Source organism: Homo sapiens, chromosome 7, assembly GCF_000001405.40.
Source record: "Homo sapiens chromosome 7, GRCh38.p14 Primary Assembly".
Taxonomy (NCBI): Eukaryota; Metazoa; Chordata; class Mammalia; order Primates; family Hominidae; genus Homo; species Homo sapiens.
Genome location: NC_000007.14, coordinates 117,578,222 through 117,604,656, shown reverse-complemented (window position 1 = coordinate 117,604,656; position 26,435 = coordinate 117,578,222). Strand labels below are relative to the sequence as shown.

The 26,435-nt window shown below is 34.9% G+C and overlaps 1 protein-coding gene across 1 annotated transcript in view, besides 22 other annotated features; it reads right to left on the bottom strand.

Moving 5' to 3' along the window:
* Positions 1–26,435, bottom strand: part of CFTR (CF transmembrane conductance regulator) — a 188,641-nt gene that overhangs the window by 64,009 nt on the left and 98,197 nt on the right. Inside the window, exons 12-17 of the mRNA NM_000492.4 lie at positions 16,824–16,918; positions 14,218–14,304; positions 12,000–12,723; positions 9,599–9,727; positions 1,794–1,831; positions 875–1,125 (exon numbers count right to left, since the gene is read on the bottom strand). Of these exons, the coding sequence (NP_000483.3) occupies positions 875–1,125; positions 1,794–1,831; positions 9,599–9,727; positions 12,000–12,723; positions 14,218–14,304; positions 16,824–16,918 (1,324 nt within the window). The remainder of the gene's footprint in view (positions 1–874; positions 1,126–1,793; positions 1,832–9,598; positions 9,728–11,999; positions 12,724–14,217; positions 14,305–16,823; positions 16,919–26,435) is intronic.
* Positions 15,208–16,880: an enhancer, noted in NCBI's record as "1.7 kb DHS11 (Long) fragment used in the pGL3B.245-DHS11(long) reporter construct". NCBI's record gives its function as "activates a basal CFTR promoter in transfected Caco2 cells" and the evidence as "EXISTENCE:reporter gene assay evidence [ECO:0000049][PMID:30296588]".
* Positions 15,208–17,511: a biological region, named in NCBI's record as "CFTR intron 11 enhancer". NCBI's record gives its function as "regulatory_interactions: CFTR | LOC111674463 | LOC111674464 | LOC111674470 | LOC111674473".
* Positions 15,262–16,662: a DNaseI hypersensitive site, noted in NCBI's record as "DHS11 or 1811 + 0.8 kb DHS; the nucleotide coordinates are approximate for this feature". NCBI's record gives the evidence for it as "EXISTENCE:in vivo cleavage assay evidence [ECO:0001075][PMID:19897727, PMID:21895967]".
* Position 15,285: a transcriptional cis regulatory region, noted in NCBI's record as "c.1679+1539T>C or 11 novel.2 polymorphism corresponding to rs727502937, where mutation of T to C results in reduced DHS11 (Long) enhancer activity". NCBI's record gives its function as "affects activity of the CFTR DHS11 (Long) enhancer in Caco2 cells, where the C allele has significantly reduced activity compared to the T allele" and the evidence as "EXISTENCE:site-directed mutagenesis evidence [ECO:0005528][PMID:30296588]".
* Positions 15,367–16,880: an enhancer, noted in NCBI's record as "DHS11 or DHS11 (Short) fragment used in pGL3B reporter constructs". NCBI's record gives its function as "activates a basal CFTR promoter in transfected Caco2 cells, with augmented activity in cooperation with CFTR regulatory elements in introns 1 and 10a,b and at +15.6 kb" and the evidence as "EXISTENCE:reporter gene assay evidence [ECO:0000049][PMID:19897727, PMID:24440874, PMID:22671145]".
* Positions 15,373–16,485: an enhancer, noted in NCBI's record as "del11 CRISPR/Cas9 targeted region; the annotated range spans the 5' and 3' guide RNA locations (protospacers), whereas actual deleted region boundaries may vary slightly in different clones". NCBI's record gives its function as "enhances CFTR transcription in Caco2 cells, contributes to FOXA2 association with an intron 10 element, and participates in recruitment of RNA polymerase II to the CFTR promoter and intronic regions" and the evidence as "EXISTENCE:knockout evidence [ECO:0001091][PMID:26673704]".
* Position 15,375: a transcriptional cis regulatory region, noted in NCBI's record as "c.1679+1449A>G or rs213964 polymorphism, where mutation of A to G results in reduced DHS11 (Long) enhancer activity". NCBI's record gives its function as "affects activity of the CFTR DHS11 (Long) enhancer in Caco2 cells, where the G allele has significantly reduced activity compared to the A allele" and the evidence as "EXISTENCE:site-directed mutagenesis evidence [ECO:0005528][PMID:30296588]".
* Position 15,544: a transcriptional cis regulatory region, noted in NCBI's record as "c.1679+1280G>A or rs213963 polymorphism, where mutation of G to A results in reduced DHS11 (Long) enhancer activity". NCBI's record gives its function as "affects activity of the CFTR DHS11 (Long) enhancer in Caco2 cells, where the A allele has significantly reduced activity compared to the G allele" and the evidence as "EXISTENCE:site-directed mutagenesis evidence [ECO:0005528][PMID:30296588]".
* Positions 15,678–17,511: a transcriptional cis regulatory region, noted in NCBI's record as "IIIb fragment used in the reporter construct". NCBI's record gives its function as "synergizes with looping element IV to augment activity of the DHS+15.6kb IVc enhancer fragment, which activates a basal CFTR promoter in transfected HepG2 and Caco2 cells" and the evidence as "EXISTENCE:reporter gene assay evidence [ECO:0000049][PMID:20360044]".
* Positions 15,734–15,781: a protein binding site, noted in NCBI's record as "PR3 CDX2-binding probe". NCBI's record gives the evidence for it as "EXISTENCE:protein binding evidence [ECO:0000024][PMID:22671145]".
* Positions 15,734–15,781: a protein binding site, noted in NCBI's record as "PR3 HNF1alpha-binding probe". NCBI's record gives the evidence for it as "EXISTENCE:protein binding evidence [ECO:0000024][PMID:22671145]".
* Positions 15,757–15,775: a transcriptional cis regulatory region, noted in NCBI's record as "FP3 region mutated in the CDX2m and HNF1/CDX2m reporter constructs". NCBI's record gives its function as "contributes to DHS11 enhancer activation of a basal CFTR promoter in transfected Caco2 cells" and the evidence as "EXISTENCE:site-directed mutagenesis evidence [ECO:0005528][PMID:22671145]".
* Positions 16,203–16,219: a transcriptional cis regulatory region, noted in NCBI's record as "FP2 region mutated in the HNF1m and HNF1/CDX2m reporter constructs". NCBI's record gives its function as "contributes to DHS11 enhancer activation of a basal CFTR promoter in transfected Caco2 cells" and the evidence as "EXISTENCE:site-directed mutagenesis evidence [ECO:0005528][PMID:22671145]".
* Positions 16,203–16,219: a protein binding site, noted in NCBI's record as "PR2 HNF1alpha-binding probe". NCBI's record gives the evidence for it as "EXISTENCE:protein binding evidence [ECO:0000024][PMID:22671145]".
* Positions 16,233–16,267: a protein binding site, noted in NCBI's record as "PR1 FOXA1/A2-binding probe". NCBI's record gives the evidence for it as "EXISTENCE:protein binding evidence [ECO:0000024][PMID:22671145]".
* Positions 16,244–16,260: a transcriptional cis regulatory region, noted in NCBI's record as "FP1 region mutated in the FOXAm reporter construct". NCBI's record gives its function as "contributes to DHS11 enhancer activation of a basal CFTR promoter in transfected Caco2 cells" and the evidence as "EXISTENCE:site-directed mutagenesis evidence [ECO:0005528][PMID:22671145]".
* Position 16,258: a transcriptional cis regulatory region, noted in NCBI's record as "c.1679+566G>T or 11 novel.1 polymorphism corresponding to rs896540388, where mutation of G to T results in reduced DHS11 (Long) enhancer activity". NCBI's record gives its function as "affects activity of the CFTR DHS11 (Long) enhancer in Caco2 cells, where the T allele has significantly reduced activity compared to the G allele" and the evidence as "EXISTENCE:site-directed mutagenesis evidence [ECO:0005528][PMID:30296588]".
* Positions 21,603–22,402: a DNaseI hypersensitive site, noted in NCBI's record as "DHS10c or 1716 + 23 kb DHS; the nucleotide coordinates are approximate for this feature". NCBI's record gives the evidence for it as "EXISTENCE:in vivo cleavage assay evidence [ECO:0001075][PMID:10708521]".
* Positions 21,603–23,984: a biological region, named in NCBI's record as "DNase I hypersensitive site in intron 10c of CFTR". NCBI's record gives its function as "regulatory_interactions: CFTR".
* Positions 21,837–23,984: a silencer, noted in NCBI's record as "H2.1 fragment used in the pGL3B-245/H2.1 construct". NCBI's record gives its function as "modestly represses a basal CFTR promoter by reporter assays in transfected MCF-7 cells" and the evidence as "EXISTENCE:reporter gene assay evidence [ECO:0000049][PMID:11856314]".
* Positions 22,138–22,176: a protein binding site, noted in NCBI's record as "CArG box 9 SRF-binding oligonucleotide". NCBI's record gives the evidence for it as "EXISTENCE:protein binding evidence [ECO:0000024][PMID:16170155]".
* Positions 22,305–22,342: a protein binding site, noted in NCBI's record as "10C-FP2 HNF1-binding probe; in vivo HNF1 occupancy depends on FOXA1/A2 presence". NCBI's record gives the evidence for it as "EXISTENCE:protein binding evidence [ECO:0000024][PMID:14656222, PMID:24440874]".

The following is a 26,435-nucleotide window of genomic DNA, read 5'->3' as shown; positions in this document are numbered from 1 at the left end:
TGAAATTTTGTTACCCAGAAAATATAATGGGTTTTTCTTATCTTGAGTTTTTTAGATTTCTGAAAATTTTAGTCTTGGAATTTATTCCTTGCTTTATATCAAATGTTTCTGTGTCAACTCCTCCTCTCACCTGTGACCTTCTCCAGGGCAAGAACTGTGCCTTACTCATCTTTTCATACCATAAATGCCTCAACAGAGAAAGTGCTCACAGGTTGCTATGAAAAAACTTGGGGAAATCCTTATTAACCTCAGTCTTTAAGTGCAAATTTGTTTAATGAGGAATCAACATAATTGATTTCTTTCAAAGTACCTTATTAGTTTTTAAAATTTTTAGTACCTTTATTCTGCTACTCTGACTTTCTATTACTTCAAATATGATGATATAAAAATAGTTTTAAAATACATTTGGGATCCCCCTACCATATAACTTTGAGCAGTTACATGAAATTAGATTATTCTACCCCATCAAAAGACTTAATCAATAGAAAAAATATATTTTCCTTGATCACTTCAAATCTCCTGCCCTTTTGAGCAATACTATATATTGGCAACAAGATGCCCAGAAGAGAGCTAGACCAAATATTTGAAAAGAGAGGTATGACTGACCCATAAGGGCCTTCTTGTTCTGCTACAGTCCCACCAACATCACATTCTTACAAACCAAGCTACTCTAATTATCTAACACAGAAATATTAGGAGCAACAATATATGATAACCTATAATATCTGAGACATGTGCATGCCAGTCAAATGGAGGTTCAACAAAGGGCACATGCCTCTGTGCAAAAGCCAGCACTGCCATTAGAAAACCAACAAAACCACAGGCCCTATTGATGGTGGATCAGCAGTTTCATTTCTTAGACCTAGTAAAGTACCTGCTTTCAACGTGTTGAGGGTTGACATAGGTGCTTGAAGAACAGAATGTAACATTTTGTGGTGTAAAATTTTCGACACTGTGATTAGAGTATGCACCAGTGGTAGACCTCTGAAGAATCCCATAGCAAGCAAAGTGTCGGCTACTCCCACGTAAATGTAAAACACATAATACGAACTGGTGCTGGTGATAATCACTGCATAGCTGTTATTTCTACTATGAGTACTATTCCCTTTGTCTTGAAGAGGAGTGCTGTAAAGCAAATAGGAAATCGTTATTTGGCAGCCAAAGTTACTTACTGAATTTCCAATACATGTAAATGGAACTAAACTTGAGTCTAAATAAATACAATATTTTGCATTAGAAGAGCATGCACCCTTAACCTCAAAATCATACTATTATTGCAAGAAAATAGATATGTTTTCTCACTATTGATAGAGATTGAGTTGTTCTTTATTAAATTAAAAAATTTGAAGAAAACCCTAAATATGTAATGTTATTTCAAATATTTTTATTGTGTTTCACAGAAACTGAACAGAACTATATTCTTTAGAAACTGCAGGAGCTGCACATGCTCACAATTTATTCATTTTATTTTATTTTATTTTAGATATAGGATCTCACTATATTGTCCAGGCTGGAGTGCGGTGGCTACTCACAATGATACAACACTACAGCCCTGAACTCCTGGGCTCAAGTGATCCTCCTGCGTCAGCCTGTGGAGGAGCTAGGACTACAGGAATGTGTCACCTCACCCAACTAATGGTCATCATTTAAACAAAAAACCTTATCTTTCCACTACCATAATGCTTGGGAGAAATGAAACAAAGTGGATTACAATACATACAAACATAGTGGATTACAATATTTAATCAACAGAAATAAAACACAATCTACACAATAGGACATGGAATACTCACTTTCCAAGGAGCCACAGCACAACCAAAGAAGCAGCCACCTGGAATGGAACAAGACACAGTTGATTTTTTTTCTAACATCTTCACCTATTCCTCCCATGCCCACATCTAAATTCACATCACACCATTTGATGTGTGTACCAATATCAAGGTACACACAATTTCATCTTCCTTTGCTTTGTGTTCCTGGGTCCAGCAGCTGTACTAGGTGTTCTAAGTACTATTATTTGTGATGAGACCACATTAAGTTAATGGAATTCAAATTTCACTGAAGTAAATTCTCTGCCATTTCTCTCCTTTACTCAATAGAAACTATTGAACCTCACAAGAAAGCCAAGATCACAGCTGAATGTTTTAAATAATAAACATTTTTTAAAGAAACTAATCTCAGACTGCTGGCAGATAATTAATCTGTTTGCTATAAATAATTTTATTAGCCATTCAATGATTATAGGGGACTAATACTTGTGAAATCAATTAATTATTGGAAAAGGTGAGATTAATATTAATGGAAATGAATTATGAGTTTCAGGCCAGGCACAGTGGCTCACACTTGTAATACCAACACTTTGGGAGGCCAAGGCAGGCAGATCACTTGAGGCCAGGAGTTTCAGGCCAGCCTGGCCAATGTGGCAAAACTCATCTCTACTAGAAATATCAAAAACTATTAGCCAGGCCTGGTGGTGTACACCTGTGATCCCAACTACTCAGGTGGCCGAGGCACCAGAATTGCTTGAACACAGAAGGTAGAGGTTGCAGTGAGCCAAGATCACACCACTGCTGCACTCCAGACTGGACGACAGAGTGAGATTGTCTTAAAAAAAAAAGTTTCAGCAGTGTAAAAAGTCACAGTTTATGAATAAAGATAAGGTACATTCAGGTTAAAACATATTATTGGTACTAGGACTACATAGAATCTCTATAGCTTTCTCAAGGTGGAAACATTTGGCTAAGGAACAAATGTTCTGCACCATATATAAACAAACAAAAAACCTTTTTAAACAACTGTGATTTTTGTAGTTCTTTTTATATTTAGATCATCTGTGCTCTGTTCTATTTCAATTTGGCATTCCATTCTCATAAACCATGTAGAGAAATTTAATCTTGTGTTGATACTATCACAATTGGAATATTAGAAATGACACTGAAATTATACAATTAGCCAAATGATACCTTTACCACAGAATGAAACAGAAAAAACAAACAGTTGTGAGTAAAACAATTTTGGAAATGAACACAGAATAAAAATAAATAGGAGAGAAACAAATATGCTTGGAATAAGATATCAACAAGTCTTATTTTATACCTGAATTTGCCTTAAATATTTAACAGTACTTAAGTTTATATAAAAAAAAACCTTATGGGGAACACTTAAATTAAGAAATTACATTAGGAAGTACTATAATGAGGTATATAAGTTTTAGTTAAATTCACATATCAGATAGTATAACGATGAAAAATCTAATGGCATTTTTCTCACTTTCCTACTTTTCTTCATTGTACACAGAGCTTCTATGCACTGTATCTGTAAAAACTACCCTTGTTTCCTTGAAATTCAAGTTAATTCAAAATGAAAAGAAACCCAGAAATTAGCTATTTCAAAAGTCTTTGTTCTAGCACAAAAGTGTATTTCCTAAGAATAATCGAATTACTCAGGATCCTAGATAAGGGTGTACATTCTAAGTCACTCTTTATTTGGCTATTATTATGTTTTGTTATTACATTTCCTCTTTGTTCTAACTAGAGGAGTGTTAATAATGCTGGCATTGCCAACATTCTTTGAAGGTGAGTAAATCTCAGAAATAATTATAATATTTACTAATGGAACAATAACCAAAGTGATGTTCAAAGACTGGTCTAGTCATCATAATATAAAATTATTTCCTCACGGTTTCCACATAGAACTACCAACCTAAACTGCTTCTATTGAGTAGAACAAAATATTTTCAAGGACTTAACATAATACTTTAAAAAAATATTTGGTGTATATAGAAGCAATTGAGTAAGCAAGTTCTGTCATTTCATTTCCAAAATGTTTTGAGGTTATAAAGTTTATGCAGTTTATGATAGAGTGACAGTCATAGGTGATTATGGTAAAAAGGAAAAATATTTTTATTTTCCATTTTCTCAGGGCTTTAAGAATCATTCCATACCACATAGAAAACAGTGTGCTTAATACCCAGATTTCAATGCTTCACAAGTCAAATGACACCCTAAAACATAAACCAACTGTCATAAAGCTGCCCTAAAATTATTACTATTAGTCAATAGCAGCAGTGGTATTATGGGAATATACTACATATCTACTGTACTAATAATGTAAAGCCACTCAGGGATTTCTAATCAACAAACAGAAGGGAAGACATAAAGAAACAGGATACAGCAGTTCTATGACATATTCTTAACAATCATAGAATGAAAGCATTAAACAGGATCTTCAGATATTCCAGTCAACAACAAGACTCTCTAGTTGTTTTCAAAAGAACCAGGAAACTGCTTCCTAATGTATTATTTTCATTTCTTCTCCATCTAGTCAATGATGCACTGCCAAGCAGGGGTTCTAAGAATTAACATAATAGATTTTTTTTGCCTATTTATTTGGTGCTAATATCTAAGAACTTACAAAAGATACTGCCCTGTAGTAGGGAAAATGTTACCAAATACAAAAGTAGAGTCACTCTCTTTCCAAAATGGTAAGTGCTAACAAACTGAATAGACCAAATTAATTTTTTTTCAGTTTAATAGCTTTGAAGAAATTTTTTAAAAGACTACATATTTCATATTGCAAAAGGGAAGCCTATTTTACCTAACCTATAAAAAAAAATCTAAATTGAAATATGACCCTTAGGAAAACTAAAAATAGACAAATCACTTACACCAAGGAATAAATGTATCTTAACCTTTCTTTAGGTTCTCTGGTCATGAGTAGAAGGCTCTCAATTGGATTTAAAAGAACTAAACTGTCATCCTGGATTAGCAGTTGTACCAGAATGTGACATGCTCATGAGACATTTCAATGGTAATGAGAAATGGGCACACTGGTATCATAAAGGAGCTTAGTCTAAAAGAAAAACTATGTAAATTTTGATTCAAAGAAGGCAATAGAATTGTGAACACTGGTGAATGAATTGTTTAGTTGTATAATTGTGCACATACTTTTAAAAAATTACTATTTTTCTACTATCACCAAGTTTTTATTATTCAAAATTTTGAGAGCCAGTTAACTGGCAAGGTCTAGAGGATACTGGCCAAAACTATTCATCATATATTACATTATTTCTTTTCCAGAAAAGGGCAATATCAATTGTTTTGTCCACTAAAAGGTAATTTTTTGCAATAATTGTGACAGTTCAATAAATAATAGATATTTATATGGTATTTATATTCTCTGTTGTAATTTAGTTTCTTTCCCTAAAGGACCACTGTTTTCTTGGTTTAGTGAGCTAATAATATTATACACATGTGAAGCAGATCAACACTTAATTAATTAAGTATATACCATTTTAAAGGTGCATAAGTTCAACTCCATGGAGCTGCATGAGACAAAGGTCCTATAAATTTACAGAAATCACTACCACATTCAGATAAGTTGAAGACAATCAAGTAATGTGATCTTTCAAGGCAGAGGTTCAAATCATTAACAATTATAAAGGGTTGGTTAAGATTAAATGGGCACAGACTGAGTTTTATTCACATTCATGTTGGTCATTTGGCATGACTGGCAGACATTAATGTGGTAAATTTTAAATATATTTTAATGCAATATTTATTACTCATGTAAAAATAATAAATTACCCAATCTCGTATTTTTGTTAAAGTATAAAAGGAATTATTAAAATTTTCATTATATTGCTGTTATGAACTTGTTCACCTCATACTATCTCAAGTTTTATAATAATGAGAATTAAGGATATTAATGATAACAGCAACAAACCTTGCTCATTATGTAGCAAGCCCTACATTAAGTGTTTCATAATCATGATGTATTTTAAACCACAAAATGGCCTATGTAGCTGTACTATTAAAATCTCCATTGTATAAATGAGAAAATGGGCCCAGCGAGTTTTAACTAACTTGCTCAGTTTCATGGTGTTAATAGAACAGAGTTAGAATTTACACCCTGAGTAGTCGGAGTCCAGAGTTGGCACTATGCTACACTGCATCTTGCATCAAGCCTCCATTTGGTTTGTTTATTTACAACAGCAGGGCAAATAACATGTATTACCACACTCAGAGATCAAATGGAAACAAATGGTTTATTGGTACAGTAGTATACACAAATTTTTGGTACATACGTTTAGATATTTCTTGACCATTCAGATGTTACTGGACCATGGTGGAGTGATCAGATGTTACTGGACCATGGTGGAGTGATGACACTTTACAAATATCATCAAGCCTTCTTAATTGAGGTTAGCAACAGCCCAACAATAAGAAAAATGTATAGTTGTAAGTTTGGGTCTCAGTTATTTACAAATTTATACTTCCTTAGGAGAGGTGGTTCTTTTTCTGGGTCATTTATTCTCTGAAGGTAGCATGGGACTTGAGTTTAGATTTAGGTTTTATATTAGGACATACCCAGGGGTGTCCTCTAGAATAAATATCTGCAGTAATCATTCACAAGCTGAATCCAAGCCACAGATGTGTTTTGTTGTGCCCATATGGTGTTCATTCGTTTGTTTTTATTTAATCAACTACCCGTATTTTAAAATAGGAAATAATTACCCAAAAAAAGCTGGATCTCTGTCTTATCCTGTTACATAAAAAGATCTGGGAAACCTGATCCCCAGTTCCCTCATGGGAAGCCCTTAGCTGGTGCTGAGTGACAGCTGCCTTCTATAGATAACTGAAGAACAAATGCTCTCCATTCAGCCTCCCAGCCACATCACCCACTGATGCTCCCTGCCAGGCCCTTTTAAGCATTTATGTGGCTGCTCATGATCCATAGAAAAGCCTCATCCACTGCTTCAGGCACCTCTTGTGTCGATGAGGATCTGAACTTGTGGCCTACCATGCAATTTTCATTCTGCCCCCCCGCCCCTTTTTTTTTTTTAACTTGGTGATGTGAAGAACAGTAGAGGCTTGGTAAAGAAACCACAATGGGGACATTGAAGACAACAAAATTTCTGTAAGCAAGTGTGTGATTTGAATCTCTAAAATGGTTGTCTAAAATGAATGCTAAGCCACTAATATATACTTTTAATCTCATTCTGTGAGGAAATCTTCATTTAAACAGTAATTGCCTGCATATTTAATAATAAAATATCTAGAGCAGCTGTGTCCAACCTTTTGAATAAGAGAACAATTTTGCTTATTGGTGGTGGCACATATCACAAAGATTACGCATGGACTTTTTTCTTTTCTTTAGCTCATCTGCTATAGTAAGTGTATTTTATGTGTGGCCCAAGACAACTCCTTTCTTCTTCCAATGTGGCCCAGGGAAACCACAGGGTTGGACATCCATTTTCTGCAGTCAAATTGTGTCCGGAATTGGTGGGTTCTTGGTCTCACTGACTTCGAGAATGAAGCCAAGGACCCTTGCAGTGAGTGTTATAGTTCTTAAAGGCCGCGTGTCCTGAGTTTGTTCCTTCTGATGTTCGGATGTGTTAGGAGTTTCTTTCTTCTGGTGGGTTCGTGATCTCGCTGGCTTCAGGAGTGAAGCTGCAGACCTTCCCAGTGAGTGTCACAGCTCATAAACGCAATGCGGACCCAAAAAGTGAGCAGTAGCAAAATTTATTGCAAAGAACAAAAGAACAAAGCTTCTACAGACCCCAGCAGGTTGCCACTTCTGGCTCAGGCAGCCTGCTTTTATTCTCTTATCTGGCCCCACCCACATCCTGCTGATTGGTCCATTTTACAGACAGCAGATTGGTTTTACAGAGAGCTGATTGGTCCGTTTTGACAGGGTGCTGATTGGTGCGTTTACAATCCCTGAGCTAGACACAAAAGTTCTCCACCTCCTCACTAGATTAGCTAGATACAAAGTGTCCATTGGTGTATTTACAAACCCTGAGCTAGACAGAGAGTGCTGATTGGTGTATTTACAAACCTTGAGCTAGATACAGAGTGCACATTGGTATATTTACAATCCCTTAGCTAGACATAAAGGTTCTCCAAGTCTCCACCAGATTAACTAGATACAGAGTGCTGATTGGTGCATTCACAAACCCTGAGCTAGACACAGGGTGCTGATTGGTGTGTTTACAAACCTTGAGCTAGATACAGAGTGCTGATTGGTGTATTTACAATCCCTTAGCTAGACATAAAGATCCTCCAAGTCCCCACCAGACTCAGAAGCCCAGCTGGCTTCACCCAGTGGATCCCGCACTGGGGCTGCAGGTGGAGCTGCCTGCCAGCCCTGCGCCCTGCACCCACACTCCTCAGCCCTTGGGCGGTCTATGGGACTGGGTGCCGTGGAGCAGGGGGCGGTGCTCGTCAGGAGGCTTGGGCCACGCAGGAGCCCACTGCAGCGGCAGGTTGGGGGGAGGCTCAGGCATGGCAGGCTGCAGGTCCCGAGCCCTGCCCCGCAGGGAGGCAGCTAAGGCCCAGTGAGAAATCGAGTACAGCAGCTGCTGGCCCAGGTGCTAAGCCCCTCACTGCCTGGGGCTCGCGGGGCCGGCCGGCTGCTCCGAGTGCGGGGCCTGCCCAGCCCACACCCACCCAGAACTCGCGCTGGCCCACAAGGCACCCGCAGCCCCAGTTCCCCCAGCGCCTCTCCCTCCACACCTCCCCGCAAGCTGAGGGAGCCGGCTCTGGCCTTGGCCAGCCCAGAAAGGGGCTCCCACAGTGCAGGGGAGGGCTGAAGGGCTCCTCACGCACAGCCAGAGTGGGCGTCAAGGTCAAGGAGGCCCTGAGAGTGAGCGAGGGCTGCCAGGACTGCCAGCATGCTGTCACCTCTCAGAATGAATTCAAAATTTAGTACAGATTTGCTTTGAGTGTTTTTGTTGTTGCTGTTTATTTATTTACTTATTTATTTATTTAGAGATAGGGTCTCTCTCTGGCACCCAGGCTGGAATGCAATGGCACAATCACAGTTCAGGGCAGCCTTGACCTCCCAGGCTCAAGCGATTCTCCCACCTCAGCCTCCTTAGTTAATGGTAGCATACAGGCACACACCACCATGCCCAGCTAATTTTTTAATTATTTTGTAGATACGGTGTCTCACTGTGTTGCCCAGGCTGGTCTTGACCCCTGGGCTCAAGCAATCCTCCCCACTCAGTCTCCTAAAATTCTGGGATTACAGGCATGAACCACCATGCCTGGCCTTTAATTTCAATCCAAATAAAAGCCTTCTATTTTCAGTTTTTTAATCTCTTAACATTTATTATAAAATCTATTAAAAACTCTTATCTTTATATTTAAATATATTTTATATGTAATATGAAATAATAAAATATCAACAGTGATTCTAATTGTTTAATTTCAATCCAAATAAAAGCCTTCTACTTTGAGCTTTCGAATCTCTTAACCTTTATTATTAAAAATCTATTAAAAACTCTTCTTATATTTGTATTTAAATATATTTTATATGTAATATGAAATAATAAAATATCAGTAGTGGTTCTACTTGTTGATTTTTCAGAAGCTAAGAACTATATGAATCTATACCATTATATACTGTAAAATCACAAATATATGTAATATATACATATATACATATAGTGATATATGTGTGTATATATGCATACTTATACATGTATACATGTGTATATATACATATTTATGTGTGTGCATATATATGTATACATCCCCAAACTATCTTAATTTAACTTTAAATCCAGTAATACTTTACAATAGAACATTCTTACCTCTGCCAGAAAAATTACTAAGCACCAAATTAGCACAAAAATTAAGCTCTTGTGGACAGTAATATATCGAAGGTATGTGTTCCATGTAGTCACTGCTGGTATGCTCTCCATATCATCAAAAAAGCACTCCTGAATAAAAGAATTATGGCTATTACAATAAGACAGTACAGTTTCATGCCACCATTGTGGTTTTATTTTTAATATATGAAAATAAAAGAATAGTATTACTTGAATCTAAGTGTATTTTAACAAATATAAATCATTATAAATGCCATGTATGATGTCATTCTATAGCCAGAATAATGTCTACTGGAGCAACACAGCTTTATTAAAAATGAGAAACATCGTAATTTTTCAAAATTCTAAAAATGTATCACTGATTATATAACTGTATTATTATTGGACAATTTTACCATTAAAGGCTTAACAGTGGCATACCTTTTATCAAATGAATGATACCATCTAAATGAAGTTTCCCAGAACTCTCTTTGATTTAACCTGTTTCTTCAGGGGTCCATGGACAAGTACAGTTCAGTATACTTCTAGCTATAAAGGTCTTCCAATAGACTGAAAGCTCATTTGTGTTTGAACATTTCTTAGTAACTTAGGACTTTCTCTCTTTCCAGCTGTGATTTAAATTACATAATTCTCATCCTAGGCATATTCCTCTAGAAATCTTTGTCTTTTGGCATAGAAATACATTTCAAAAATTTGAAAAAGAGAGATTCCAGACAGTCCAAAGGAAAAAGAGTTTTGTTTCTCACAAAATCAACAAAACTCATGGGAAAGTGCTATGAATCACAAAGAAGGGCTCCTATGGAATTGGGATATAGTGCACTGGTTAGGAGTATGCATTTTTTGAGTCAGACAGATCTGGATTTGAACCCAACCTCCACCATTAACATCCTAGGAGCTGCTTGAATTCAAGCATGTTGCCGAACTCTGAACTTTAGTTTCCTTATCTGCAAATGTGAAAAATTTTAAATACCTTCCAGGGTAGTTGTGGGGACTAAATATATGCCACCTAGCACTAGATGCAATCCATTAATAGAAACTATTATTAGTCAAGGATATCATTCTTTACAACTAAATTTTTAGGCTCAGGACTGAGAAATTCATTTAGATTGATATTAAACTATATAGATGGGCTGGGCGCAGTGGCTCAGGCTGGACGTGGTGGCACACGCCTGTAATACCAGCACTTTGGGAGGCTGAGGTGGGTGGATCACAAGGTCAGGAGTTCAAGACCAGCCTGGTCAACATGATGAAACCCCTTCTCTACTAAAAATACAAAAATTAGCTCGGCATGGTGGTGCATGCCTGTAATCTCAGCTACTCAGGAGGCTGAGGCAGGAGATTAGCTTGAACCCAGGAGGCAGAGGTTGCAGTGAGCCGAGGTTGCACCATTGCACTCCAGCCTAGGTGACAGAGCGAGACTCCATCTCAAACAAACAAACAAACAAACACACAAAAAAACACTATATAGATGAATTATCATTTAGGAAACCTTCATAAAGTTTAGAAATACTAAAATTACACACTTTAGGGATCTATTTTATTCCCTCATTTTACAAAGAAGGAAACTTCTGCCTACAGATGTTAATGGCTTGTGTCTTGTCAAAGGTCATATTATTCACAAATGATCTATACTATTAAACATATCAATTCATTACAACCCTGCCCATGGCTCATTTCATCCAAGGCATTAAGTTTTCTACTAAAACAACAAAAACTCTCCTTTTTATATTATTTCCTGTTTTAAAAATAAAATGCTTTTATTCTTAAAACCTAATAGAACAAAATTTCTGTCTGAAGATTGGCACTAGTACATGTTAAGCTTATATACATTCTCTAAAAGAAATCTTTTCAGAAACCCAATGTATAAAGCAAACTCACAAGATAAAAAAAAGCCCACACTAGCTAAATTCAGGCAAGACTGATATACAAACCAGAATGTGAGTTAGTCCTATCAAGAGGCTAAATGTTTATATACCTTATATATGCTACTTCCATACAGATTATTTTGCGAGCTATAAATAATGAAAGCTACTATTTATTTATACAGTTATTTATACTGCACCTCTTCCCACAGAGGGTTCAAGATGGTAATAAAGCAAATGCTTTCTAACTTATAGTCACAGTTATCACTGGCTTAGTAGAGGACCAAAAACTAAATCCTTTCCCATTTTATGGGAAGAGATATGTCCATTGCAAAAAGAAATCATTTGTTATTTTACATTTTAACGTTGCTTGTATAATTAATGAACTTCATACTTTCTGAGTTTTAAGATACACCTTATCCTAATCCTATGATTTTAGTAAATTTTGTTACATGCTACATATTGCATTCTACTCAATTGCATTCTGTGGGGTGAAATACCCCCAAGCGATGTATACCTACCTTTAAGTCTTCTTCGTTAATTTCTTCACTTATTTCCAAGCCAGTTTCTTGAGATAACCTTCTTGAATATATATCCAGTTCAGTCAAGTTTGCCTGAGGGGCCAGTGACACTTTTCGTGTGGATGCTGTTGTCTTTCGGTGAATGTTCTGACCTTGGTTAACTGAGTGTGTCATCAGGTTCAGGACAGACTGCCTCCTTCGTGCCTGAAGCGTGGGGCCAGTGCTGATCACGCTGATGCGAGGCAGTATCGCCTCTCCCTGCTCAGAATCTGGTACTAAGGACAGCCTTCTCTCTAAAGGCTCATCAGAATCCTCTTCGATGCCATTCATTTGTAAGGGAGTCTTTTGCACAATGGAAAATTTTCGTATAGAGTTGATTGGATTGAGAATAGAATTCTTCCTTTTTTCCCCAAACTCTCCAGTCTGTTTAAAAGATTGTTTTTTTGTTTCTGTCCAGGAGACAGGAGCATCTCCTTCTAATGAGAAACGGTGTAAGGTCTCAGTTAGGATTGAATTTCTTCTTTCTGCACTAAATTGGTCGAAAGAATCACATCCCATGAGTTTTGAGCTAAAGTCTGGCTGTAGATTTTGGAGTTCTGAAAATGTCCCATAAAAATAGCTGCTACCTTCATGCAAAATTAATATTTTGTCAGCTTTCTTTAAATGTTCCATTTTAGAAGTGACCAAAATCCTAGTTTTGTTAGCCATCAGTTTACAGACACAGCTTTAAGATATAAAAACATATAAATATCAATTTTATAAATACTTTATTGCAATATGTCTCGTATTTTAGCATTTTGTTAATGTTTTATTGCATATAATCTCTATCATACAATTTTATTATATTTTAAATGATTCTATAAGTACTCTGTAGTAATTAAATTGGTACCTTGTGAATTCTGATAGCATGAAATAACATGCTATATTGAAAAGTTGCATGTTAACAGACTGAGAATGAAATTAAATTTCCTATATTAAGTAGATATTTGACTTTGAGCAAATCATTTATCCTCGGGGTCTCTCAGTTTATTTATCTAGAAAATGAGGAAATTATTAGATGATCTTTAAGGTCCCTAGAGATTTGTACTTCATTTCTTTTAAATGTCAGAGCTTTGTTGCTCTTTAAATTTTCTATTAATTTCTTTTTTACATTTTAGGTTGACCATCAATTTATTTCTCAAGTGTTTACATTAAGACTAATCTGTTTCACTAAAAATAAAACAGCAATAATAACAACTGAGAATTCGATAATTAATTTGACTCTCCTCAAATAGAATTTTAATCTATTCTAGAAGTAAATCCTGACTAGAATCATCTAAGACATATCAGTTTTTTTAGGCATTAAAATGTCATATATCATATAGAAAGACACATTGTTCTAGATTATACTGTAACACACTAACACAATACAAATGTAGTAAAGTTTATATTGATAGAAGTTACTTTTCACAATCTCAGGGTTGAAAAGATAGTATCTTGGATATTAAATTTAACTAAATTCTAAGAAAGGTACTTCTAGGAATAACCCAGCCATTTTATATACATATACATCTTTATTGCTTAAAGTCTTTATTTTTAGAAGAGTATAATAACTGTTCTCCTAATAAACTACTTGATAGTCCATTAAATCATTTTGAAACTTTGAAATCAAGCCATATAACTGACTGTCTGTCTGTCTAGGGAATTTCATGTACATTGGACCCTAACAGGAGTTCCAAGGAAATATAAGTCCTGAGCTCTGTGTGACTGAGGAGGAGATCTCCAAGGAAGTATTGAGGTAGATGAGTAGTCTAAGCATATTAAACCAGTAAAACACTTAGCATATATATTTTCTTAAGAAGGTTACTATCTAAGGAGAAGACAGAATAAAATACTAACACAAAAAGTAAATAAAAATGTTAAGTATAATAATAATTAAAGTAATATATATCACAAGGCAATGATACTGCAAAAACTACATAGATAGCAATTGCTATAACAGTATAGCAATGAGAGAAACTGGTTTAGCATGAGGCGGTGAGAAAAGGTTTTAATGGAAGTAATCTTGAATCCTGGCCCAGTAGGGCAGATCAGATTTGAGTTAATACCATGCTACATTCTGCCATACCAACAATGGTGAACATATTTCTCAAGAGGTAAAATGCAATCTATGATGGGACAGTCTGTCTTTCTTTTATTTTAGCATGAGCATTATAAGTAAGGTATTCAAAGAACATACCTTTCAAATATTTCTTTTTCTGTTAAAACATCTAGGTATCCAAAAGGAGAGTCTAATAAATACAAATCAGCATCTTTGTATACTGCTCTAAAAAGAAAATGGAAATTAAATTACATTTCCTCTCTATTTCCTGGTCATCTAGTGTAGATGATTTGCCTTAAACAGTTCACTACATGCATTACAATATGGTCACCACATCGATTCACTGAAATAACACTATTCTCAAAAGTGGTGCAGAAGTAGCACTTTTATACATGTTTTTACTATGGTAGATTATTTTAAATGAGGAATAAAGGAATAAGTTGCAGAAGATTTTTATCACTTTTCACAACATTCCAAGAACTGCTGAAGTGATTTTGCTAACTGTAAGTGGCATAAACTAGCAAAAGTCACAAACTGAACTGTACCATAGCATACACTTTAAAATATTACCTTAAAAAATATTTTAACAATAGTATCTATTTAGAGGCAAGTACCATGCTATGTGCTCAAAATACAATGGCAAAAATTATACAGTTCCTGCCCTTGAAGATGTTGGGTTTTGGTGAGGACACCAAAAAGAAAATAAACTATTCCAAACTGTAAAATGTCAGAGACAGCTAATAAATTACATTACTTATGTGAAATTATTTTTAAAATGTTTTTCTAAGTGTTAACCACTATCAACAAATTGATAGCAGTGCTGCCACAACTGTATAATTGATATTGCATTTTGTTCCTTGTAGTTTCAGTCTCTATATCATATTCATAAAAGTTCCAAATAAGGAAAGTATGAGTAAGTCACAACAAAATGTATATCCATATTATTTTACTATTTAGCTAAAATATGAAACCATAAGCAAGTAAAATCTACATTGAGTTGACCTTAGAACAGTAATAAAGATGAAGACACAGTTCCCATATTAATAGAAATGAGATAATTTCTTCATAACATTTAAATTTTTCAGGTGTGATTGATAGTAACCTTACTTATATCTCAAGTACATAGGATTCTCTGTTTATACATGTAATTGTTGGTACTTCTGTAATAAAGAAAATTGTATTCAGCACACAATTAAGAAATTTTTAAAGCCAATTTAAAAATTTTTTTAAAAACCAATGGCAAAACTTTAAAAGTCTAAAACAACCTTTATAGTGTAACTTATTTTTGAAGACAGTATGCAAGAGCTACATAATGGATCCCATCAAAATGTACACAGTTTCTTCCCCACACTCTGTTCTTAATTCTCTCCCTCACATCTATGACAAGTTTCTTATGAGATTAGAAATAAGAAATTCATCATCCAAAACTGGACAACACATTACACATTCTGATCAGAATAAGAACAGACAATTATTTTTAGTTCCTCAAAGTGTGTGCACCTTACAGCAAAACCAAATCTTAAACTGATAACACAAACTCAGTTCTATGTTGGATGTCTAGAAGCCATATACTCTATCTTATCTAAATTTGTGGAATTCTTAGAATAAGTCTTACTTTGGCTCACAGATAAAAACAATCAACTTCCATTTATTTAGAAGCCTGTGAATTATCCGTATCTATTGATTTATTGCCTTACAGTGTATTTCCAAGATCAAAGCATGGTTTAATGTAAAGAATCAAAAGGACCTGGTTCAAACTGTGACTCTACCATTTTCCTGTATGGCTTTTGGCAAGTTAACATCTAACAGCCTCAATTATCTTATGATCTCTTCTGTAAAGCAGGGAGAACAATTCTTACTTTGCAGAGCTGTAAGGGGATTACATACACACAAAAGTACACACATGACTAGAATACTACCAGGCAATTGCAGGTGCTCAGTTAGGGTTAGTTTCCTGTCTCAGCTTTTGGAAAGCAACAGAAAGTAAGGGAAAGGAGCCAAAACATCAATGAGTCAATGTGATTTCTTGTTAACGACTTTGGCAACAAAGTGAGAAGAATTTTGTTCAGATAAAGCTTGAGAAACATTTGACATCAGAGTCACCAATAATTGTTTAAACTGAAAGTTACAGTTTAACCACAAAGCTCTCTCCTTGACATACATTATCTATATTTACATCTCTTTGACAGCTTTAAAATGCTTGGACCAAGAGTGTTTCTACTAAGGGACCTCCTCCCCCAACAATGTTAATGCATTTGTCCTGTTTATTTTAAATATTATAGATTTTAAGCCAAGTGACATCATTTGCCTTCCTATTTTGTTATGAAAATTATGATGAAAAATTTTGAAAATGTATGTTTATCTATACCAAGAAGCCTAAAGCTGGTGTGTACATTGGAGTGGCAGGGTCTATGATGGAACTAACAGATATTTACATCTTCTCTGTCCAGTATTATGCAGAATCCTAGAGTTTTCCATTTGTAGTAAACTATACTATGAGGCAAACAAATACACTGACACCAAGATACGGGCACAGATTCTGAGTAACCATAATCTCTACCAAATCTGGATACTATACCATTATTTATAGTTCTTAAATGTGATTCTTAACCCACTAGCCATAAAACCCCAGGATTTTTTCAATTCCAGAAACAGAATATAAAGCAATAGAGAAATGTCTGTAATTTTTTTACATGAATGACATTTACAGCAAATGCTTGCTAGACCAATAATTAGTTATTCACCTTGCTAAAGAAATTCTTGCTCGTTGACCTCCACTCAGTGTGATTCCACCTTCTCCAAGAACTATATTGTCTTTCTCTGCAAACTTGGAGATGTCCTATTACCAAAAATAGAAAATTAGAGAGTCACTTTTAGTATGCTCAATCTGAATTTGAAAGGCACATCTTCCTTCTAATGTAATCATATATCACACTATTGCTTTAACCACAGTTGAAATTTTGAACATTGCATCTCCATTATTTCAAATGCAATTTATTTAGTTGGTCAAAAACAACATTGCTGAAATTTTAGATGTAAATTTTTCTGTAATTTTTAAAATGTCATGAATGATCATTAAATAATAATTATAAAATACCAAAAATTAAAATATGTGTATATTTATGGGTATATAAATATGTGTAGATCATCCATAGGTCCATTTTACAAATTCAAATGTTATCAACATACTAAAATGTACTTTTCTCCAATTTAAGTTCACTCTTTTCAAAAGAAATCTCCCAAAATGAACAAACCTCCTAAGAAGAGAAACTAAAAGAACATTATTCACACCCCTGCAGGATCTAAGTATCTTCACTGGGCTTCCATGGGTCCAAGGCAATTCCTTTCCATGCTTCTGTCACCTATCCTCCCAACTAAAACAGCTTTCTTCCTCGTCCATCCTCAGCACCTCATTCTCACGACCTCTCTCCATTCATTCTGCCCCTCCTGTCATCCTTTCTCCCAGGTAATGAATATTTCTGTGGTAACAATCATTCTAGGCATTGTAAAAGAAGACTGGAATTTATGCAAAATAGTCCTTGACTCCTAGGCATTGTATGTCTAATTTAGAAGGTAAGTCATAATCCTGGAGAAAGCTAAATACTATCCCAAAGATTTAACTAACCATTTTAAGATAGTTTATAAAACAGTTCACAATTAATTGGCAAATTAATTTTGTACATAACAGAAGTATACAATAGATAGAATACCCTAGAGGCTTTCAAACCGATGGGATTTGGTCTGAGACTTCAAGAATGCGAAGAGTTAGATAGGTAGTAAACTCTCGCCTTAAAAAAAAAAAAGTCTCTCTCCCTTTTCTCCTCCCATCCTTGTACATTCGTTTCCACCTCCTCCTTCCTCCCCTCTACTAAAACTTCTCTTCCATATGCTTCTTCCTTCTTCTTTCACAATCCAGAAATAATCCAATATTATCTATATCTAAAGTATCAAAATGGTTACTTCTGTTATTCATTTGTTCCATTTATCTACCATATGGACATAAATAGGACTTTACATGCAAAACTCCAAATGCACAAAGTAAATAGATTAATAAGTAGTAATTTATATTAAGAACCATTTGGTGGTTCCTGTTGGCTGGCATCATGCTAGCTGCTGCCCTCAAGGAACTGTTGCTATCAACATTTCTGATCTAGAGTAACAAAAGGCCTGTGAAAAAAATGCTGACATGTTGGAGGAGATGTAGCAGGACTCAGTGGACTCGGCTACTTAGGCACTGGAGAAGTAAAATATAGAGAGGTCGTTAATACCCATAAGCACTGCTTATGAGAAGGACCTTCAGTGGTTATGAGACATGTAAAACATAGGTCTTTATTTCTTTCTACCTGGCCTAAATGAGCATGCTTTTGTTCAACTCATGAACTGGACCACATACCTAGGATTCCATCCAAATAACAAGAATTGCAGTGGATTTCACTCATAATTTAGAAGTTAGACTTCACACCTAATTTAGAAGGTAATAAGGTAATTTAGAGGTGTTCATGCAAGTGCTCCTTTAGTGAGGCTGAAGATTTCAGTTTTACAGCAATTACAAAACAGCTCGTGTGTGTATTTCTTCTCTCCTGCCTCACATTTTTCCTTTTTCAAATCGTATTCTCTTTTTAAAAACTAAATCTGGTTGGGCATAGTGGCTCACTTATAATCTCAGCACTTCAGGATGCTGGGTGGGAGAAATGCTTGAGATTGGAAGTTTGAGACCAGCCTGGGCAACATAGCAAGACCCATCTCTACACAATTTTTTTCCTTTTAAATTAGCTGGGCATGGTAGCATGCACCTGTAGCCCCAGCTACTCAGGAGGGTGAGGGAGGAGGATTGCTTGAACCCAGGAATTCGAGGCTATAGCGAGCTATGATCACACCACTGCACTGCAGCCTGGATGACAGAGCAAGACTCAATATCTAAAAAACAAAACAAAACAAACAAACAAAAAACACTTAAATCTTTTGGAGAAAAAAAGAGAATGAAGAGAATGGTTTGCTTTTGCCTTGTATGAATAGATTCACTGTAGGCTTTTGAAAAAGAGGCAAATTTTCTAATACATTATTAAAAAGCAGGAGGTTGCTAGAATTATTACAGTTTTCCATTGTTTTTTTCAAATTTGAACTCAACATTGTATTAATTAAATTGGTTAAAATTTCAAAATATTTTTAAGTATTAAAAATAAGTAGTTATCTTGACAGTACGATTATAACACAGTTGACTATAGAAAATAGATTATTGATTTAGAGAGTATAGAATCCTAGCTCAGTGCAGGCAATTAATGAAGATTTATGGAAAGAAGGAAAAGAGACAGGGAAGGGAAGTTAATCAAATATTAAGTTAAAAATAAAGAAGTACATAGAAGAAAATAAATAAATGTGTGCAGAGGAGAAAAAGAAAGAAAATTGGAGAAGCAAAAATTGTCAGAAGTAGAAGTAGATATCTATATATTAAAAGGTCAAAAAGATAATAGCGGGAAAAAAGGACAAGAATACTGAAGGGGACAGTAAGAAACAGATAGAAGATAAGGAACTACAGTCTATACTTTAGAAAATGTCCCTGCTGACAACAACCAAGCTGAGAATCAAATCAAGAACTCAATCCCTTTTACAACAGCTGCAAAAACAAAACAAAACAAAACAAAACAAACAAAAAAAAAAAACTAAAATACATGAAAATATACTTAACCAAGGAGGTTAAAGATCTCTACAAGGAAAACTACAAAATGCTGCTCAAAGAAATCACAGGTGACACAAACAAATGGAAACACATCCCATGCTCATGGATGGGTAGAATCAATACTATGAAAATGACCATACTGCCAAAAGCAATCTACAAATTCAATACAATTCCCATCAAAATATCATCATAATTCTTCACAGAACTAGAAAAAAATCCTAAAATTCATAGGGAACTAAAAAAGAGCCCACATAGCTAAAGGAATACTAAGCAAAAAGAACAAATCTGGAGGCATCATATTACCCGACTTCAAATTATACTACAAGGCTATAGTTACTAAAACAGCCTGGTACTGGTACACAAATAGGCAAGTAGACAATGGAACAGAATAGAGAACCCAGAAATAAAGCCAAATACTTAAAGTCAACTGATCTTTGACAAAGCATACAAAAACATAAAGTGGGGACAGGATACCCTATCTAATAAATGGTGCTGGGAAAACTGGCAAGCCACACGTAGAAGAATGAAACTGGATCCTCAATGCTCACCTTATACAAAAATTAACTCAAGATGAATCAAAGACTTAAATCTAAGACCAGAAAACATAAGCATTCTAGAAGATAACATTGGAAAAACTCTTATAGTCATTGGTTTAGGTAAAAAGTTCATGACTAAGATCCCAAAAGCAAATAAAACAGAAACAAAAATAAATAGATGGGAAATAATTAAACTGAAAAGCTTTTGCACAGCAAAATAAATAATTAGCATGGTAAACAGACAACCTACAGAGTGGGAAAGAATATTCATAAACTATGCATCCGATAAAGGACTAGTATCCAGGATCTACAAGGAACTCAAACAAATCAGCAAGAAAAAAAAACAAATAATTCCATCAAAAAGTGGGCAAAGGACAGAATAGATAATTCTCAAGATATACAAACAAATAACAAACACAGGAAAAAATGCTCAACATCACTGATTATCAGGGAAATGCAAATTAAAACCACAATGAGATACCATCTTACTCCTGCAAGAATAGCCACAATTAAAAAGTCAAAAAATAATAGATGTTGGCATGGATGTGCTGAAAATGGAACAGTTTTACACTGCTGGTGGGGTTGTAAACTAGTACAACCACTGTGGAAAACAGTATGGAGATTCCTTAAAGAACTAAAAGGAGAACTACCATTCGATCCAGCAGTCCCACTGCTGGGTATCTACCCAAAGGAAAAGAAGTCATTATATGGAAAAAAAAAAAGCACACTCATGTTTACAGCAGTACAATTCATAATTGCGAAAATATGGGTCCAACCTAAATGCCTATCAATCAACAAGTGGATAAAGAAAATGTGGCATATATACACTATGGAATACTATTCAGCCAAAAAACGGAATGAAATAATGGCCTTTGCAGCAACTTGAATGGAGCTAGAGACAATTTATTCTAAATGAAGTAACTCAGGAATGGAAAACCAAATATCGCATGTTCTCACTTACAAGTGGGAGCTAACCAATGAGGCTGCAAAGGCATAATAATTATATAATGTGCTTTGGGGACGATAAAGGAAGGGTGGAGCGGGGGGGGGATAAAAGACTACATATTGGGTACAGTGCACACTGCTCAGGTGATGGGTATATCAAAATCTCAGAAATCACCACTAAAGCACTTATCCATGTAACCAAAAACCACCTGTAGCCCAAAAACTATTGAATTAAATTTTTAAAAAAGAAAAAGAAAATATCCCTTCTGGATTTAAATGTCCAAAGACTACAAATGCAATTTCATTATACCAATTTTTTAAGACAATAATTAAGAGGCTGTTTCAGTCAAATTTCTATCTTAGGTGTCTATAACATTTATATTTTAAACAAGTCAAGGAAATAGGAGGAGGGAGAATGGAACTAAAGTATTCCCCTCCTTCTTTCCCATATGAATAAGGTGAAAAAATATTAGAGAAAGAGATCAGAAGAGTTCATGTGAACTCAGGCTTTGCACACTCAGATCGAATGGAATATCAAATTCCTCCAAAGACCAGAAACAGCCCTCCTTTTAGTCTTATCATTCTTCAAATCCAACTTAAAGCTTGTTGAGGAAAAGGAGAAAATGCTTTAAGAAAATGAGGGATTTAGGGAAGGAATTGCTAATAGTTTCTTGGTACCATGTTACTCTGTCCATTTCAATTATAACCACAAGCTACTCTGATTCTTTTTTTATTTTAAGAGTAGTGTTGTGTGTCCCAATGCCTGGTCTTTTCAACACTTTGAGTCAGTAAGCCATGGTATGCATTCCAGGAGGGCCCAGGCCTCCCTGGGGAGATGGCTGATAAGAGACAGTACTCTCCTCCCCCTTGTCCCAGATTAGAGGGAATGGGATTCCTCAGGGTGAAACCTTCCCCCATACTTGGGAGATCTTCCAGGTTGCGTGTACCCTGGGAAAAATGCCATAAAGAAATGCATCCAAGTGTCCTTTCTCCTGAGTCACTGCTGAGTTGAAATCTGAATTATGTTTGTAAAATTCATTTTGAGAGCTATCAGATGTCATGTAAACTGTGCTTGTAGTGGTTGCTCAATAAGTAACAAAGCTGGAATATTGAATTGGATAATGTGAGACCCAGAATTTGAACCCTGGTCTGTCTGGCTTATTGTGAAATCTCAGTTACTTAACAGCTCTCTGACTCAATTCCTCTAACAAAAACCTGGGTCAAATAATAGTTTATGTTTCATAAAGAGTGCTAACTATGAAAATTAAGAAAGTGGCATTTATAAAGTAATTCTATAAATATAAAGCAATGAGATAAAATGTAACAATCCAAGTGGAATTTTTTTTAATTCTAAAATAAAACTTGGCTGGACATGGTGGCTCAAGCCTGTGATACTGGCACTTTGGGAGGTCAAGGCAGGTGAATCGCTGGAGCCCAGGAGTTCAAGACCAGCCTGGGCAACATAGTGAAACCCTGTCCCCACAAAAAATGCAAAATTTAGCCAGGTATGGTGGCACACACCTGTAGTAGTCCTAGCTACTCTGGAGATTGAGAGGTGGGAGGATCGCTTGAGCCCAGGAGGTCAAGGCTGCAATGAACCGTGATCACTCCATTGCACTCCAGCCTGGGTGACAGAGTAAGATCTTGTCTCAAAAAATAAATAAAGCAAAATAAAATAAAACTTTAAACAAAATACAAAACATGAGTAGTAACATTAGTCAAAGAGCAAAATGACCTGTTTTCTAGCCCTGTCTCCATTACTGGACTAACAGCTTTGAGGAAGTCTTTTCTGGCCCTAACTTGTCCATCTATAAAATGGGTATAATAATATCTTCCTTTAACAGTTGTAAAAATTTGAAGTAATTTAATATAAAGGGCTGGCCCATAATATACACTCAAACATTGGTAACTCTCATAATTTTGTAATGAGATATTTATCAATGATCTATATATGACATTCATTTCCATTTATCCTTGAATAGAGTGTTTACCTGATGTGATAATATGCCCCATTCTACCATTACAAAAAAAAAGCAGATTTTTAAGGCCTGATCACGTAGCTTTTATTAGCATATCATCATAAGGTATGTACAAGAGATGATGTACACAAAAAGCACTGGACTTAGAATCAGAAGCTCAAGTCCCAGGTTTGCATGACCTTGCCAGATGTACTATTGTTGAAGTTGGTATGTATGTAGCCATGTGATTTTAAACTAAAGGCTAGGATTCTTAAGGGTGAGGTCAAGGTAGACATGATATTCCCAGACAAGATCTTGGCTTCTTTCACCTTCCAAGCACGACCACACTAGAGATGACCAATTAATTTTATTTTACAATGCTAAATTGTACTATGATATTTTTATTCATCTTATTACCTTATAAACGAATTGAGGGAGGATATACAAGTTCTTTACCTTGTCTTTTCTGAGAAAATGTATCTTGCTTTTAGGATGACTAATCGTTTATTCGAAATTTCCACTAGAATATGTTTCAGCAGTAAAAACAAACAAGAATATCTTTAAATCCCCACACTTGTTGCTAATTGAATAACATACTACTGAATGAAAAATACCTAGATACATAAATATTTTAATAATCAACCCCACAGTAACTGTCTCGATAAGTCAATATCAGGATACTGTAAGAAAGTAGATTTATGAAACCTGCCTTCAAGCACTTCTGTGCTTGAATTCACTTGCTCACATTTATTTGCAGTCTGGACTAGACTAGACTGAAAGTGTAAGCTTTTGTAGTTCATAAATACGTTTATTAGATGCTATGTGATTTACCCTGGCATTTACTATCCACACCCCTCCTCATAAAAATGACCTACCAATAATATCATTGCACATAAATCTCTATGATTTTGTGATCTTATTTTTCTAAGACATACCCTCATGAATGGGATGGCTAGGTCAAAAGTATGCGTTTTCTTTATTTTTAAAAGATATTGTCAGGTTCCTTTACAAAACAACCAAAAGAATTATATTTATATTAGCAAGTTTTGAAAGTACCCTTTTCCCCATAATCACCACCACCAACAGATATTAATATAATCACACCTCAATTTTTGCTAATTTGCCATTTTAATTTGTATTTTCCTTAATACCTATGAAATTGTAAATACTGGCCATCTGAATTGTTCTCCTGTGAAATGCCTATTTTTATTGAAGTCTGTGTTATACATTCATTTTTATTTGTATGTAATAGATGTTAAAAACCTTTTTTGCTGCATATGTTAAAAAACATTTTTTCTTTTCTCTTTTTCTTTTGCACTATCCATAGACCATCTATCATGTGCACAGTTAACATTTCATGAAATCATTATATCTGCTTGAAATTGGAATTCCTGTATTTGTTTGCTATCTTTTTTTCTTCTAGTATTTCAAGTGAAAAATTCCTATATTTGTTGAAAAGTACTACCCAACCTTCAGGTTATACATTGAGTATCCTATATTTCTTTTCAAATATTATTGCTTTTTAATTAAAAAATTTAATCAAGGTATAATTTATGGTTATATTTGGTATGAGACATGAATCTAACCTCATTTTCTTTTACTTGAATAGCAAGCATGATTTATTACATTAATATTTTTATACTGAATTCATTTAGCATCTATCATATATCATATTCTCATGTTTCCTAAGATCCATTTCTGGCTTTTCTGTTTGGTTCCTCTGATCCATTTTTTTATTCCTGTATTAACACTGTGCTAGGTTTTTTGGCACTTTGGTTTTTTTTTTTTTAATGGCTCTAATATCTAACAACGCATAAATCTTATTCATAAATTTCTTGACTCTCTTTGGTCATTTAGTCTTCCATATAATAACAAATATTAACAATACTAATAACATAAATAATAAGAAGAATAGCTAATGGATATTTGTGCTTACTATATGTCAGGCACTGTTTTAAGCATATCTATAAGAAAAGATGAATGTTATCCCAAAGATAACATAGCTAATAGATGATAGAGCCAGGATTCTAACTAAGGCAATTTGTCTACAAAGCATGCACTCTTAACTATTCTTTATTTTTTCTTCTTAGGTGAAATTTAAGTTCCAATTAACAAAATTTCAAAACCAACCTCATTGGGATGTATTTATAATTTTATTAAATGTGCATATATTTGGAGAGGGTTCACTTTTTAAGATGCAAAATTTTATTAAAAATTATGATCTTTCTATTCATCCAGATCTTATTTTATATACTTCAATAACGGTTTATTCAATTGAATTTTCTCCATATATGTCTTATAAATTTCTTAGTAGATTTATGTCTAAATATTTTACGGTTTGCTACTATTATGAATCAAATAGTTATTAGTTTTCCATTTTAATTCCTAAAGGGTTATTGCAAGTAGAAAAAAAGCTACATTTTCTATATTTATCTCTTATCCAGCCATCTTATCATATAGCTAACATGTTTAGTCAGACATATTCAATAGCAACTTTGTTGAAGTATGACTTTGAAAGAAGAAGCAAAGCAACTGTTAAAAAAAAAAGTTTGACTGAGAGAAGAGTTATATTAGAAGGGTTTAACATATATCTTAAATTTTTAACAGAAATTTAGATATCTTCATTAGTGGAACTTAAATATTTGGCTATTTGGTTGTGTTAAATTTAGCTTAAAAGAGAGATTTTCAGAATTACTTCAAAAAGATCTAAACTGACAGGAAAATGAAGATGTTTCAAGCATTAGACAAGATTTTACCCTTAGAAATGCTCTCCTCAATAATATTTAATGGCCTATAAAATGTGAGTTTCATTTATAAATATAGTACATCTAACCAGAATTTACCACAGCTGCTATCCAAAATACCAATTACAACTGACCCTTGGACAACGCCCTTGGACAACATGAGGGTTGGGGTGCTGACTCCCCATGCAGTCGAACACCCACATATAACTTGTAACTACCAGAAACTTAACTAGCAATAGTCTACTGTTGACCAGAAGCCTTACTGATAACATAAGCAGTCAATTAACACATACTTGGTATGTTATATGTATTATATACTATATTATTACAATAAAGCAAGCTAGAGAAAAGAAAATGTTATTAAGAAAACCATGGGGAAAAAGAAATGTATGTACTATTCATTAAGTGGAGGTGAATCTTCATAAAGGTCTTCGTCCTCATAGTTTTCATGTTGAGTCAGCTGAGGAGGAAGAGCAAGGGGAGGAGTTGGCCTTGT